We start from the raw sequence: 16,374 nt of genomic DNA on the forward strand, positions 1-16,374 counted from the left end.
GTATAAGCATATTTTTTTTTAAGGCTGGGAGTTGGGTGCAGGCAGTTGGACATTAAAGGAAGACCATCCTGGATGGTCACTGTGGTTCACGCCTGTAATCCCAGCACTCTGGGGGGCTGAGATGGGTGGATCACTTGAGGCCAGGAGCTCCAGACCAGCCTGGCCAACATGGTGAAACCCCGTCTCTACTAAAAATACAAAAATTAGCCAGGTGTTGGGGGGCAAGCCTGTAGTTCCAGCTACTTGGAAGGTTGAGGCATGAGAATTGCTTGAACCCAGGAGGTGGAGGTTGCAGTGAGTTGAGATCGTACCACTGCACTCCAGTCTGGGTGACAGAGAGAGACTCCATCTCAAAAAAAAAAAAAAAAATCATCTCTATGCGAATGATGTGAGGTTATGCAGTTGTTAGGAAGCTAGATCTAACCATTCCACAATTTATGGACAGTAGTAGCCCCTTATCCTTGCTGTCACTTTCCACGGTTTCAGCTACTGGTTCCAAAAATTTAAATGGAAAATTCCAGAAATACACAATTCATAAGTTTTAAATTGCTCACTGTTCTTGGTAGCATGAAGAAATCTCACATGGTCCCACTCAGAACATGAATCATCCTTTGTCCAACATCTCCACACTATAGATGCTACCTGCCCACTTAGGCCTGAATCCTAACAGGGATCTCGCTCTGACCGACCTGGTGTATATGCGCATGTGCTTATGTGTGCGTGCTCACACGTGCACACAGAAGTGGAGTGGGGGGTCCTCATTTATCCACCCACAGACTTCTTTGGTAAAACAAGAGGGCTGGATTATCAGGGTTTTCAAGACCTCAGAGTTCCCAAGGGCTCCCGTAGGGACAGCTCCCCCTGTGTCTTCTCCCTTCCCCCTACAACCAGAGCAGCACTCTCTACCAGGGGTGTCCAATCTTCTGGCTTTCCTGGGCCACATTGGAAGAACTGTCATGGGCCACACATAAAATACACTAACAATAGCTGATGAGCTTAAAAAAAAAATCACAAAAAAAAAAACCCTCATGTTTTAAGAACGTTTACAAATTTTGCGTTGGCCGCATTCGAAGACGTCCTGGGCCGTGGGTTGGACAAGCTTGCACTGTACTTTGCTTATGAGTTGAGATTACCTATAAAATTCCATCCTGCATTTGCAAACCTGAACGAGAAAGGCTCCAAGTCGTTGGTCTGGAGCTCTAAAGTCCTGTCCAGGCCCCGGTTCCTGGGTTCTGTAAGAGGAAATGGCAGCTGGGGCCTGGAGGCCTGGGTACAGCTGAGCAGGGAGCACTCGTGTGGGGCTAAATGAATGCAGTTGAAGGACCTGGATCATCTGGGACCCTACATGTCTTCCTTCTTTGCCTCCTTTCCAGGGACGCACTCTCTGAGATATTTTCGCCTGGGCGTTTCGGATCCCATCCATGGGGTCCCTGAATTTATTTCAGTTGGGTATGTGGACTCGCACCCTATCACCACATATGACAGTGTCACTCAGCAGAAGGAGCCACGGGCCCCATGGATGGCAGAGAACCTCGTGCCTGATCACTGGGAGAGGTACACTCAGCTGCTGAAGGGCTGGCAGCAGATGTTCAGGGTGGAACTGAAGCGCCAGCAGAGACACTACAATCACTCAGGTGTGCATGCAGCAGAGACAGACGCTTCCCTCACCCCACAGAGGCCCCTGGGCTGACCTCCAATGAGCAATGCTGACTTGCACCTGCTGTGGCTTTTGGCAAAACCTGGGAAATCTGGTTGGTGTAGTTCAGAGTGTCCCATCTGCCTGTGCATCTTCTGGACTGTCCCTCTCTCCCCCAGGAGCCCTTTATCCTCTGCCGCATCCCCCTTCCCCATATCCCCATCTCCTTTCCCATTCTAAATTTGCCCATTCTGTGTCTCACTTCTTGGTAGCCAGGCCTAGTGACCTGCTTGCTTATGCATAATGACATTAACTTTCCCAGGGATATTTCTAGCTCCTGCATCTCTCTCCCTCCTCCACTGCACTCAAATAGCCACAGTTTATCAATCAATCATTCCCATTACAGGATAACTCCCCAAGAAGGGAATTATCACACTCCTTTGGCATGCAGTAGGTACTTCACAAATACCTGTTGTCAGAGTGGTATAATGGACACTGGCGACTCAGGAAGGGGAAAGGTGGAAGGTGGGTGAGGTGAAAAAAACCACCTACTGAGTACAACATACACGATTTGGGTGACAGATACACCAAAAGCCCAGAGTTCACCACTACACGATTCATCCATGCAATCAAAAACTACTTGTATCCCTAAAGCTATATGAACCAAAAAAAATTTAAAAAACAACCCTGCTGTCAGGTGGGCTTCCAAAGAGGGACCTCCTGGGGACTTAGCGATGCCACAGCAGGCCTGTGGGGTGACGTAGACCAAAGGATGCTTCCAGCCATGCCCCTGCTCCCAGCACTTGAGAGCCCACCTCTGTCTCTGTGTGGACCCCTCTGGGCTTGCGTGTGTGTTCCAGGGTCTCACACTTACCAGAGAATGATTGGCTGTGAGCTGCTGGAGGATGGAAGCACTACAGGATTTCTGCAGTATGCATATGATGGGCAGAATTTCCTGATCTTCAATAAAGACACCCTCTCCTGACTGGCTGTAGATAATGTGGCTCACACCATCAAGAGGGCACGGGAGGCCAATCAGCATGAGTTGCAATATCAAAAGAACTGGCTGGAAGAAGAATGTATTGCCTAGCTAAAGAGATTCCTGGAATATGGGAAAGACACCCAACAAAGAACAGGTAAAGAGAGGAGGCCTTGTTCCTGCATTGCCTGAACAATTGTTTCATAAATCCTCTAATCTAGGTTACATTCACCCTATCCTGAAGCCATCTCTTTAGTTGGCCTGTAGTGATCTCATGGCTAGAGCCCCCTGCGAACTTTTGAGCCCTCTGGTTACTTCTGAGCGGCATCTTGACAAGATTTGGCGGTTCCCCTTGTCTTGACAGAGTGGAGTACCTCCAAGGGCACCTTGTTTTTGGGGATCCATTGAGGCAAATTCTTCCATTCCATCAATAAGCTGGGAAATTCTTTGGGAGGTGGAGCAATTCTTACAAATTGTTTAGTTAACAAAGGGCTCACACACCACCAGTAGGAGTGAAAATCTGGATTTAACAGGACAAACAGAGGGTCTCTGCTTTACTAAAGGACTAATGACAAGATTCCTTCCAGCAAAGAGCTCTTCTTATACCTTAAAGATATGATTCAATTGGTCAACTTTCAGTTAATACAGAACTTTTCATGTATGATCTTATTATTCAAAATGAATTACCCCTGTATCATGCTACGGGAAATACCCAGACACACGTGCCTTTCCTCACAGGAGTAGGAGGGATTTTCTCAGCTGTGGCCAACAGCAGGGGAGGTGTCTGGCCACAGTTATGAATATGGAGCATCTGCTAAAAGTACAGGCTTTGGAGGCAGATGCCTGGAGTCTGAGCTTCGACTCTCCTGTTCACTAGCTGAAAAACTATCTCTTAATGGTTGCAGGTAACAGAAACCTATGTAAACCGGCTCAAGCACAAAGTGGGATGCTATTTTAAAGGTGGGAATCAGGGCAGTGTGGGGACCCGAGAGATCAAAACCAAGATGTGAATGATTTTATCCAAGAGGTAGGGATGTGGCTGCCAGCACAAAGCTCATATCCTCCATCGCTTCACCACTCCGTAAGAATGGGTGTCTCTCTCCCAGCTCTGGTTACTAAAAGGAAAAGGAAGTCACGGGAGGACTCTGACGTGCGTTGGATCATGTGGTACCTCTGGGCCTAATCACCGTGACCATCAGGATAAGCCTCTAAGACAAGCCATAGCTAACAGTCCTGGCAAGAACTAAATGGTACAACTCAATATGGTTTAAATGAATTCAACAGACAGCATCTGTAAGGGAATAATCAGAACTGAGGAAACCAGTACGGGATGGTGAAGTGTCCAGAGACGTGTGACAGAGGGAAGCTATTACCTCCACCAGAGCTGAAGGGTAAAAGAGAATATTGTTATCATAGTCCGGCAAGAGCTGCTACCCTGGCAGAGGATGCTCCTTGTGAGAGCTGTGACCGTGGCCCCTGGCGGGACTGCAGTGAGGTGGGTTGGGGAATGAAGCCCCAGCCTCTCTCTCCTCCAGCTCTCTGGTCTTTTTTGAGGATGCTCATCGCAGTGGCCAAGCCCAACCAGAGGCCGGGGGCTCTGGAAGTGCAATCTGATGCGTATAGCCTCCTGGGGCATGGAAGGGCAGAGAAGAGATTAGCTGGGGGCTGATGGGGAGAGCCTAACCAGCACACACACTTTTTTAGGCTAGGGCTGGGCAGGAGGATTAAGACTGGTACCTCTCAACACAAGCACATGTTGGAATGGGGTAGGGTAACTTTCCAAAATATGTTGTGTGTTTGGCAGAAGGGGTTCCTGTTGTTAGAAAAAGTGAGGCTAACAGATGGTAGGCCAAAAAAGCAATAAACTAGAGTAAAATCAACAGGTATGATAATGCCTACCCCACAGAAATGGATAGGAAAAACGTGCATAAAAGCACTGTGTAAACTGTAGGGCTCTGTTCCCTTTTCATGAGGCCATCAGTCATACTGGATTAGGGGCCCACCTTACTACTGCAGGATGACCTCACCTTCCCAAATTAAATCAACAACCCTATTTCCAAAGAATGCCACATTCTGAGGTACTGGGGGTTACAACTTCAACATGAATTTTTTGGGGGAAACAATTCAACTCCTAACACACCCCTACCCAACCTCTGTAGGTTCCCTCAATCCACCAAAACTCCTTTGGCTCCAGTGGATTATCTAGCAGTTAGGAAACCAAGATCATTAAACAAATTCACTGCAACCACAGCGAGACTGACTACCTTAGCTTACCTCTGTGAGAGGAGTTAAGCCAAATGAATCTGTAGAATTTTGGCGGGTTTGGGGGTATTTGGGGGCAGGGGACAGATGTTCTTCCTTGAAATCACAATACTTAGTTCTCTTCCATTTATAAGACTCACCCCTCCATCCCAACCCCTGCACCACAGGACAAGGAAGTGTTCTTGGCCTTCAACTTTCATCCATGATGGTGAAAGCACTTGCTCCTGATCTATTTGCCCACCAGCTTCTCCTCTGTAGCCTGAGGCTTCTGATGCCTGCCTGGCTGGTTCTCAGTAAGAAGGTCAAGTTCAACCAGAGAGGAGATGCTGATGCCTTTCAGTAGTTAAATATGAATTCAGACCCTGGGGCCTGGACATAAGATTTGGGGTCCCATCAGCTGGGCACGGTGGCTCACACCCATAATCCTAGCACTTTGGGAGGCTGAGGTGGGTGGATCACTTGAGGTCAGGAGTTTGAGAACAGCCTGGCCAACATGGTAAAACCTCGTCTCTACTAAAAATACAAAAATTAGCCGGGCTTGGTGGCATGCACCTGTAGTCCCAGCTACTAGGGAGAAGGCTGAAGCACAAGTATCACTTGAGCCCGGGAGGCAGAGGTTGCAGTGAGCCGAGATCGCACCATTGCACTCCAGCCTGGGCGACAGAGTGAGACTCAACCTCAAAAACAAAAAAACAAACAAAAAAAAATTGGGGGTCCCTTGGACCTAAGATTTCTGAAAACACTCAGACTATGGGGACCCCTGCTGAAGGAGAAGCCCCCAACTGTGGCTTCAGGGGAATGCACCAAGGCTCTCACTGAGGCCGCCTTCTCCAACAAGCTCCCCTCCTGCTTCCCCATGGCTGGCATGGCTGAGGAAAAAGGACACTGAGCACAGCCTGTGCATGAGCGGCTTGCCATGCCGCAGGATAAAACCCATAATGCCACTCAGCGTGCCTTGGTTGTAAATCTAGTTTGATTACAACACTAATCTCTGGCCATTTGTTCTGTTTCTGATTTGTGAACCAACCGAAGACATGAGCAGGGCCTCAGCTAACCCACAAATAGCACATGTGTGCAAACTGGAAAAATGAACCCTTCTTCTGGGAGGACGCCAGCCCAGGCCAGGTCACCCGGCTTGGCCAGCAGAACACAGAGTGGATTTTGGTCCCGTTTGTTCCCCAGTGGGGTATCTATCCTTGTGCAGGGCACAAGCTTACATGGTGGCTCTGGTCATTTCATTAGAAAATAGACAGAAATGGGCTGCACACCAGAATGAATGATTTGGAAGGGAGGGGTGATGGTATAAAAGAATAGGCCAATTCATTCAAAATGGTAGAAGCAGAATGCCAAATTCCATCCACTCTTACCAATGCCCTGAGCTGGGAAGCACAGGAAGCTGCTGCTTTTCCTCTCCCCTTTTTCCCCACTCCGTGTTGGCTGCACCAGCAGAGGCTTCTGTATTTGCCCTGGGCGGGAGTTGGGTATGAAGGTCTGGGCCAGAAGGTTCTGAGTTGCTGCGCTGCTGGGTGGCAGCTGGAAGGCCAGGCTGGCTGAAGCCCTGGCGAGGTGACACTGGGTCTGAGGCAGGTGCAGTGGCAGCAGCCAGACCTCTGAGGACACAAATGGGCTAGAGAGTGGGAAGAATGGAGTGGGGGTAAGGGGGGACAGCCTATGAGAGGAGGCTGCGGGATGAAGTGGGAAGCCACAAAAAATGGAAAAGGAAGTGAAACCAAGGGAGAAATAAGAGTGCCACCCCCGAGGCCGTCCTGGCCTTTCTTCCTTTCTGAGGCATCAGCGCAGATTCTAAGGTTACCTGAACTGACTGAGAGCTCTATTGTTTTCTGAGCAACACGACAGTGGTATAGAGAATTCCTGGAACACACTGGGAAGACACACGCTCTACAAGGTGACAATTCTGGGGAAATCTGAAGGGCTGGAATAATAAAAAGTCAAACATTTGGCATCCCATCAGCTGCTGAAACAACCCTCTCACGTACTTTAAAATACCCAAGACACACACTCTGCATATTACTCACGAAACAGCTACGAATGCACAGTCTGTGCATTACCAGTTCATGTCACACTGTGCCTCAGGAAGCCGCTGAGTGGCCTGGTCATGCATCTTATCAATCTTCTGGGAGAGGTTCTGCCTGACTGAATTGGCTTCCATAGTATTTGCACTTCACAGCTGAAATCCTTAAGAAAGGAGGTCAGCTTCTGGCTCCGTAACAAGTTGTTCTTGGCCACCCAACGGTTGCCCTTCCTAACTGGAGCCATGGTGCTTGGGTGGAGACAACAGGTGTAAAATGGGTCAAGTGAAACTGTGCTTGCTGCTCCGGCTGACAGCGAGCAGCTCTATGGCTACCCTAACATGCGACGGCCACCACCAAATTCAAACTCAGCTGCCACAGGCTGCCAAATGAGAAGTCGCCATCTTAGTCCCTCAGTGTCCAATACAAGGACGCTCCACAGTCAGGCAGCCAGTCCACAGGTAGGACTACAGTGCCCAGAAGTCATGGCGATTTTGTTTTCAGATTGACAGATAACACTATGTTTTCATCGTGCACGTTTTGAAGTATACAGAAGTGCCCCCTGCCCCACCGCCTTTTTGCAGGGATACATTCCAAGACCCACAGTGGATGCTTGAAACCACAGATTGTACTGACTAGATAAACTGTTTCTTCCCTTATATACATAGGAACTCCCTTGCTGAAATCTTTGTATAGGCACAGTGCTTTCCAGTGCAACCCATTTCTGAAACCTCAGAAAGTGAAACCGCAGATAAGGTGGGACTCCTGTGCAAGTGGGTGACATGACAGTGGACGAAGAAAATAAACATAAAAGTTGTCCTTTATCTAAGAAGGGAACGCAGTTCAGACAAGGAAGAGGAAGAGCAAAAGGTCAAGACACAATAACAGTTACCCAAGCTGTAGGGCAACAAGGGTTATCTACGGTGAAACCAACTGCAAGCCTGACACTCAAGTTTGACACGAGGATCTTCAAGACCCCCTTGGCCTGTGCACTCCAGCAGCCAGGGAGCAGATTTATGGTGTTAGTGAAGGACAGCCCTCTCTGACAGCAAAAAGATCTTCCTCACTTCCAGTGGGTGGTGGAACGAGCATACTACCAAGGGCCAGTGATTTGTGGAGGATTGATTTTGCACAACTGCATCTAGAGGCCTTGGGAAACCTCCAGCCCTCTAGCCATCTTGCCCAAAATGTGCGGACCCACAAACGAGAAGCAGCCAGACTTTTCTGATGGGCCTCCAATGGGCACTTCTGGGGTCCTGAAAAGACTTCTTCCCATCAGGTGTATTGTTTCTTTGATGTGAAGTTCCAGAGCAGGGAGTAGTGTTCCTCTGGGGAATTTGGAAAAAGGGAGACACACTGTTCTCACATCAGTTTTAAAGCTTTGCTGTTCACGCCTCATAACTGAGGTGACCCCAGAAATTGCTTGCTGAGTCCATGCAATGGAAACTTCTCATCATTTTCCCAGCTGTATTCTCCTCCCTGCTCTTTGACCGACTGCTCTCTGCCTCCAGTAACTCAGCATCCTCTTTGGCCTGCCCCACCTACAACTGTTGTGGCATGGAAGGACCCCAGGTTCTCAGAAAAACTGCCACCTCACCCTCCTCAGAGAACCCTTAGGATCTGGCATTTCCACTCTGTGTACGCTGGAGGCCGGGAGGCTCAGGCTCAGAAAGGTGAGAGCTCTGGGCCATGAGAGTGCACATCTAGGAAGCGGGGGTAACTGTACGAATTAAGGCCGGATGGCAGAGCAGGACAGGTCACAGGGGTGCCCACAGCAGCAGAACAGGCCATCTCACCACCCACACCCATCCCCCTCCTTCGGTGGGGGTTACTAAATGGGGCTTTGGGATCTCTCACCTTCTTTGCACACTAGTTCTTTTGAAGCTGGCCTGTGGAATGGTGTTTTATGTTTATCCTTGTTTACTGTAGACCAAAAATTGGTTTGGAGGCAGCTTCCAAGTCTTGTCCCTCTCTCTCACTGGTTAGTGGGAATTTGGATAAGGGAACTGTAGGGCTTAGGTCAGTCTAGGGTCTTTTTTTTTTTTTGAGACGGAGTCTGGCTCTGTCGCCCAGGCTGGAGTGCAGTGGCGCGATCTTGGCTCACTGCAAGCTCTGCCTCCCAGGTTCACGCCATTCTCCTGCCTCAGCCTCCCGAGTAGCTGGGACTACAGGCACCCGCCACCACGCCCAGCTAATTTTTTGTATTTTTAGTAGAGATGGGGTTCACCGTGTTAGCCAGGATGGTCTCGATCTCCTGACCTCGTGATCTGCCCGCCTCGGCCTCCCAAAGTGCTGGGATTACAGGTGTGAGACACCGCGCCTGGCCAGTCTAGGGTCTTATGTGACCAGCTGCAGAGTAAGTACCTCTAAGCTATCCATGGTCCCTGCCAGGTCTATAGACTCTACAGAGAGCACCGCTCTCATGGGTTCATGTGTACCTGTCTGGTGGCCTTGTTCCGTGTGTTTAGCCTCTGCCCAAGGCATGGATGAGTTACATGCAGTTAGTGGTGAGATCCTCATGCTGAAGCCAGCCTCTGTGCCCCAAGAAGTCATGGGCTATGATCCAAGAATCTGGGAAGTAGAGGTCTTACCCTCAGGCTTGGGTGGCTCTTTGTTGCATTTTGTGTTATTCTGCTATATGATCATTCTAGTAATTCAGTCCTTTTCAAGTTGAATTCTTTTCAGGTTGTTTTATTTTCCTTTTCCGGAGACTTTTGTACATACTGTTGTCCTGAGTAACAGTATCTCTAAGCTGAGTTACTCTGATCGGAGCTACTGAAAGGTACCTGCTTTCAGCAAATTCTGGTTTGGTTTTATTTTTTAATCAAAAAAAAAAAAAGGAGAGAAAGAAAAGAAAGACCACCCCCTATTAGAAGCAAAGGCCCTGGGAGGAGTAAGGCCTGTCACTGGGGCAGGGGCACTGTCCTCAGGGGCGGACTTTGCTCAGGGATGGCGCACAGTGACTGCGGGGGCTTAAGTCCGGTAACCCTTTGGTTTTATTTCTTTTTATTCTTGATGGGCAAAAAGCCTCCTTTAAAAAACATTATTCTTAAGAAACCTGGGAGAGAAAAAAATGCCAGTGAGAGGAAGACAAAGAAAAATTAGAGGCAGTACATTCCATATTTCAGAACTTTAGCTTTCCAGACAGTCCAATTTTGTTTTGTTTACAAATTCATCTTGCAGTACAAGGTGAAGCCAAATGGTACAAAGTCCACAGAATTGAAAAGCCATTCATATTTATCATTCAATTTTTTGATCTTCAAATGTTATGAATTCTCCAAAAAGGTAACAGGGAACAGATATCCCTTTGGTCTCACTTTATAGACAGGGAAATTACCAAAAGAAAAATCTTGGCTCTACCATCTCTACTTACAGAAGGTAAAACACTTAACAGAGACAGATTTCTGTTGGAGTTAGACTAGATTTCTTTTCACAGCCCTTAATCTCACGAGGTGAGAAGGAGTGGAAGTTGCCAAGTTGTTGGCTACCAGACCCATCAGTCTGTTTAACTCTGGCTAAAAGCAGAGAATAATGGGCAAGTTACCAAGTTTCCCCCTTCAGCTCTGGCGTGCATTCTGAAATTGTGGAAGATCCTCATGTAACACACACGCTGCAACCTGCATTTGCCACACAGTCCAGGGCATATAGAGCATTGTGATTCTTCACAGTCCGCAGAGACAAGACCAAAAATGAGGACTAAAAACTAAAGGTAGCTGAGTTTTTCAGATGGATTTTCACTCTGGCAAACTCAGTAGTTCACTCCCTCCCACCCCTCAAATCATTTAAGTAAAATGTTCTTCCAATAAACATAAATTGAGCTCTTCCTCTGTTATCCATCACATTCTGCCAGTTCTTTAAAACTGGAATATGGTACTAGGTACAGAAGGCTAAAGGGGTAGGAAAGCCCCAAATACTATAAAGATGCACTTATAAGCAGTGTGGGGTTATCACCACTGTCTACTTACTCTCCCATTCTAGGACACAGGGTGAAGAGACCACCTGGGTTCCCTCTAAAGCCCTGAACATTAGGACCACTGAGGAGGAAATATTTGTCCTTAAAAATAAATGTAGGTTCCCTGGATTGTTCTCTTTGGCTGCCACATTTGGAGCCTGAGTGGAGGCCCTTCAAATTAACACTGGTTCTGTAGGGACTGCCCAGTCAGGGTGCAATGGGATCAGACACAGGATCAAATCAGCCAGGGGCAGAAGGGCATGGTGGCCCTACGGGTAGAATGCACTGTATTGTTAGTTAACTTTCTAAATTGTTCTCTATTTAGCTTCAGCCTGAGTCAGGTCTACAATGGCCACTATTTAGAAAATAATTTAAATCAGTGAGGTAAGCACGCCGATTTGAAATATATCCAAACATCATTAAGCCTCTGGGTCATAAAACTTGGTCCCTGAACTAACAGGAGTATCTTACTCATTAATGACTAGGTTTGTTCCAAACGGCCCCTGCTGACACACATGATCCTTTTGTGTGGCACAATAAATCTGGTAATAGCAGAACAATAGCATGGCTTTTAAATAGGGTAATTTTATAATTCCTTAAGATGCTGGTTTGCTTCTTATAATGTGTTGTGTGGATTACAGTACTTAGACAAGGTTCACATTTACTTTAAAAGACTTCTATATTTTAATGCAAATCTAAGGATCATCCCCTTTCTTAGTTTATAGAAGATTCAAACTTTGTAAAACATAAATAACCTAGTACTCTAAACATCTGAAGCCCTTTGTAATACTCACTGTTTTTTCCTAATTTGAAAATAACTTATTTATATATCAAACATTAGAGCGGAGTGTAAACATGGATGTCAATCACCCTTTTAGTTTCATAAATTTGCTTTTAGCTTTCATCAACAGGCATATTTTCTTAACCTACCATGATCTCAAATGAGATAAAATATCCTTCTTCAAAAATTGTTAAGAATATTTATTAAAAAGTGCAATTCAAAAGTTAGCTGGGCAAGCACATCATTGCAAATCACAAAAAAGGGTGAAAAAACCAAAACCCCCAAATAAAACCACATGAAATACAAACAAAACAAAACAAAAAGGTTTAAAAAAAAAGTGTGCTGAGGAATGCACCCAAAAAGACAAGGAAATGAGAAGTCAAAGCTAGAACTCTATCCAGATGTTGCTGTTCTTTCCAAGTGCAAAAGAAGGTGGTGAGGAGAGACCAGCAGCCTCCACCACCGAGTTCTGGCTCTGGGTCCAAATACTACTTTAATATCAGATTATTCATCAGGGAAGTTATAAAAATATCCTATATACATGTGCACATTTGAGGCATTTTAAAAAGTCATCAGAAGGTTAAAGTTTAGTGTCTCAGCAGTTTCAGCTACTTAAACTCAATTAAAGCATCTATCATTTAAATTTGGATTGGCTCAGTTATTTGACTGCAGATGATAAAATCAAGCTGTCATCTTAGGGAAAAAAAAGAACCAAGTTTACCTACACATCCTTGCCATTACCCACAGAGTAAGAGAAGTCTGGCCCAGAGCTAACCTTTTATGTCATTACGTTTCTTAATAAATGTAATAAATGTACTAACCACTCCCAACCCCAACCCCCAGTGTAGAGTGCCCTAAGAGTAAAAGAACTGTAATGAGGACAATCTGGTATCCAAATTCATTCAAGTGTGTTACTGAGCTGTTTAGCAACAACATATGTAGCAATCACCCTCAAAACGCAAGCTGCACCTCTGGGGAGGAAGCCCTGGTACAGCAACATCAAGTCGGCAAGGATCAGGAGCTGACCTGTGGCGACATCATTAACCCTTCCCTAAGCTATGCCAATGCAGAACCCTCTTGCTCTTTTTAATTGCTCCTGTCAGTTAAAGCCACAAGTTGTTAGCACCCCCAAACCCCAGGGTGTTTCATTATTTTCCATTAGTTATTCTTACCACAAAAAAAAATGACCTGGAAAAGCAATTTTATCTTAGCATTTATCCCTGAAAAATGAAACACTGCATTTTCTGTCACAAACTGTTTCTGAGCCTTCTGTCCTCAATAATCATCAGCTCTCAGGGGATAAGAAATGCTACAGCAATGGGAAACGAAACATACCCAGAAGCTCGTATTCCTGACAGGTTTCTTTAGATGGGACAGCGGTGCACTGTCTGAGCACGGGGAAGGGTCTGAGCAGAAGAAAAGAGCTGCCAAAGATGCATGGAATGAGCAACAGCAAAACACCAGTGGAGTCTGTAAGTCCCTCCTCAGCAAACGAGGTCCCGGAAGGCAAGGCAGCAGCTAGTTCTCCTCCGAACTGGACAGGCGGCATGGGGCTTCTGTTGTCCAGCTGCAGCCAGGAGTGCAGACATCTATTTCCTCTTCCCACTGGCCCTTCCAGCGCTGGGATGGAGGAGCCATGTCAATTGTGGGGTCACACGGAGAAAAGTCAGTGCAGCAGTATGTTTCCAGGATAGGAATGTGAGTAGACGGCAATGTCACACGTGCTCAGCTTCTCCTCCTCCCCTCGGTTCATATGCAGGAGGAACTCGCACCCAGAGGCCCCGCCGTCACAGCACTAAGAAGAGGATGAGCACAACCAACAGGACTGCAAAGAGGATGGCTATGGCACACCATTGGCGCCGATCTGGAAGGCAGGACATGGGGATTAGCTCTCACAGGGACTCCACATTCCCCAAGATACAGTTATATGGAATTTATGGCACCCTTTGAAGCAGAAAAGGGGCAGAACGTGCAAATGACGGGGCCATGATCTTACACCTGCCTAGGTGCCTGATGCTCTAATGCTGCTCTGTTCTTGGCCTGCACTTCGCATGCAGTCACAACTTTGCCAGTCCCCTGAAAATGTCTCGTAATAATTACATGCTTTGTGTCTCAAGTCTTTAATTAAAATCTGCGGATCTTAGCTTTCTGCTGGTAGTTAGCATATCCTCAAAAAAGGTGTTGGCAATGGTGTTACAGATCAAAGCCTGCCTGCTTTAATCTCCCATAAAAGTCAAGTCATTTAATTAAACAATAATCACATTCTTTTCTCAATGAGCACAACGGGAGGAGGGAAAGGAGATGAAAGCTACTGCTGGTCACTTCAGGAAATATACAGCTGAAAAAGCAAGCTCCAGTGAGACAGCATGATTAATTTCACACCACACCTAGTCAAGTAAGATTACTTAACTAGTAACTGTGTTAAAGTACCTTGTACAGCTCCTCTGTAAATGAAAGTGGAATTTTTTTTCTGAAACTTTCTGCCCTACCAACAATTTGGAACAGCAGGCACAGGAAACAACTTGACTAGAGTCCATCCAAATGGCTGAGAGCAGGGAGGCCCTGTGAGACAGAAGGGCCCAGACAGGCCCTGGGGGAGCCCTGCTGCAGCTCACAATCCTGTGGTCCCAACTCTACAACAGCTGCCCCGCAGGGCTGTTGTGAGAATTAAACAACACAACCCTGTCATACACACACTGTGCAATACCCAAACCTAGGGCACAGAGGATGCTGTCAACATCAGGATGCTTCCTTAATTTGGAGACATGTAGAAAAAATGAGCAGTCCTTCCACTGATGAGTTTTGGCATCTTCCACAAAGGGCCCGACTGATAACAGAATTCACTAGCGTATGAAAATGCAGTACAACCACTAGGAATAAGAGTTCCATTTAAATAGAAATATAAAGACATATTGATTCACTAAAGTTTCTTTGAAAGCCCACTGATTTTAGCACACTATAGTTATTGAGAATCACGTTGCAAAAAGATCTCAATCTATGAAAATAAACTGCTAAACTCTCCACAAGGCAAAACATGTACTTAAAATTATTTTAAATATTATGGATATCAAAGTCTTAGAACTGGACAAGAGAACTGCCACCAAATTATAAGTAAAGCAAGTACCTTCTAAGTGGTGATCACCTTGGTCTACCTCAGACATACTAGAAACTCATTTAGTTAACTCTGAGCAGGACAAAGACCCCAGGTCCATCACTCGTTGTTCTCAGGTAGGACTGTTCCAAAGGTCTAGGGAAGGCAGAGATGGCCTACTGCAGGTCACACTTTGACCTGTTTAACTATTACTTCAATGGTCAAGAAAACTTTTATAACTGGCATTCTCTCATCTGATTAAAAATGTTAAATTTTTAATTTCCAGCCAAGTATGTAAGAAGCTTAGAAGTCATCACTCTGTCGTAACAAGTAAAAAGCTGAACAAACTGAAAAAGCAAAACTCTTCTTAGATCCATCAGAGAAGTGAGGTCACATGGTAAACTGCTGCCCCTAAAACTGCAGAAACCTACAGATGCATACAGAGAATCACAGCTTATCAGAGCAGAAACCCACGAAGCAACAAACTCCATAGGAACCAGTGTTCTGGTAGGAAAACCTTAGCTTTAATTGATGAGTCGCTGAAGGCTCAGTGTGGACAAGTCTGAGATGAAAAACAAACAAACAAAAACACTCCAGGTGGACCCAGGCGAAGGGGACCCCCACACTTCTGTGGGTTTTACCTCCAGGAGCTTGACCAGGTTCTCAGCGAATATTGGGAAAAATCCCCTCATGCTTCCAGCAGGCGGAGGGGAAAAAGAATCACTACGAAATACTCCAGAGCACTCTGTTCTAAACAAAGTCTGCCCTCAAAAGAAACTAACCAGAGTCTGACTAACCTGGGGGAAGGAAAATACCCAACTCCAGTCTTCTCTAGCCATCCAGTTCCACCTAACAGTAGAAAAACTGGGAAGCACTAGTGAAGTTCACGGGCCAGGGGCACAGGCTCACCAGAGGCTAAGACCTAATCACAGGACTAGAAAATGCCACCCCCCGGCCTCACCACCCCATCTATGGTAAAGGTCTATTTACCACAGTTCCTTTTACCCAGTATATCATGTCCACTTTTCAACAAAAAGGTAAAAGGCACACTAAAGGAAAAAGCAACAGTAGGAAGAAACTGCATATGCATCAGAACCAGAGTCAGATACAGCAGGAATGTTGGAATTATCAGAAGAGGAATTTTTAAAACTATGATTAATATGCTACAGGCTTTAATGGAAAAAGTAAACAACATGCAAGAACACATGGATAATGTAGGCAGAGACATGGAAATTCTAGAATGAAAAAAATAGAGATCAAAAAGACTACACAAATGAAGAATGCCCCTAATGGGCTCATTAGTAGGCTAAACACAGCTAAGGAAAGGATCTCTGAGCTTCACAATTTGTCAACAGAAACCTGAAAAAAGAAAAAAAGACTGAAAAAAAACCTGGCACAGAATATTCCAGAAATGTGGAACAACTATAAGACTTACCATAACATCAATCAAGATAATGTAGTATTAGGAAAATAGACAAGCAGATCAATGGAACAGACAGTCCAGAAATAGGCTGACATAAATACAGTCAACTGATCTTTCACAAAGGAGCAAGTGCAATACAACAGAGCAAAGAGAGTCTTTTCAACAAATGGTGCTGAAACAACTGGACATCCATGCCAAAAAAATGAAGTTGGAGGCAGAC

The 16,374-nt window shown here is 46.0% G+C and overlaps 1 protein-coding gene and 1 pseudogene across 2 annotated transcripts in view; one reads left to right on the forward strand and one right to left on the reverse strand.

The window, feature by feature from the left end:
• Positions 1,374-6,220, forward strand: MR1P1 (major histocompatibility complex, class I-related pseudogene; annotated as a pseudogene).
• Positions 9,583-16,374, reverse strand: part of STX6 (syntaxin 6) — a 50,146-nt gene continuing 43,354 nt past the window's right edge. For both annotated transcript variants that reach the window (NM_001286210.2, NM_005819.6), the window contains one exon: positions 9,583-13,504. In NM_001286210.2, coding sequence (NP_001273139.1) covers positions 13,428-13,504 — 77 coding nt within the window. In that variant the 3' untranslated portion in view covers positions 9,583-13,427. The remainder of the gene's footprint in view (positions 13,505-16,374) is intronic.

The sequence above is a fragment of the Homo sapiens genome, chromosome 1 (genome assembly GCF_000001405.40).
Source record: "Homo sapiens chromosome 1, GRCh38.p14 Primary Assembly".
In the NCBI taxonomy this organism is placed as follows: Eukaryota; Metazoa; Chordata; class Mammalia; order Primates; family Hominidae; genus Homo; species Homo sapiens.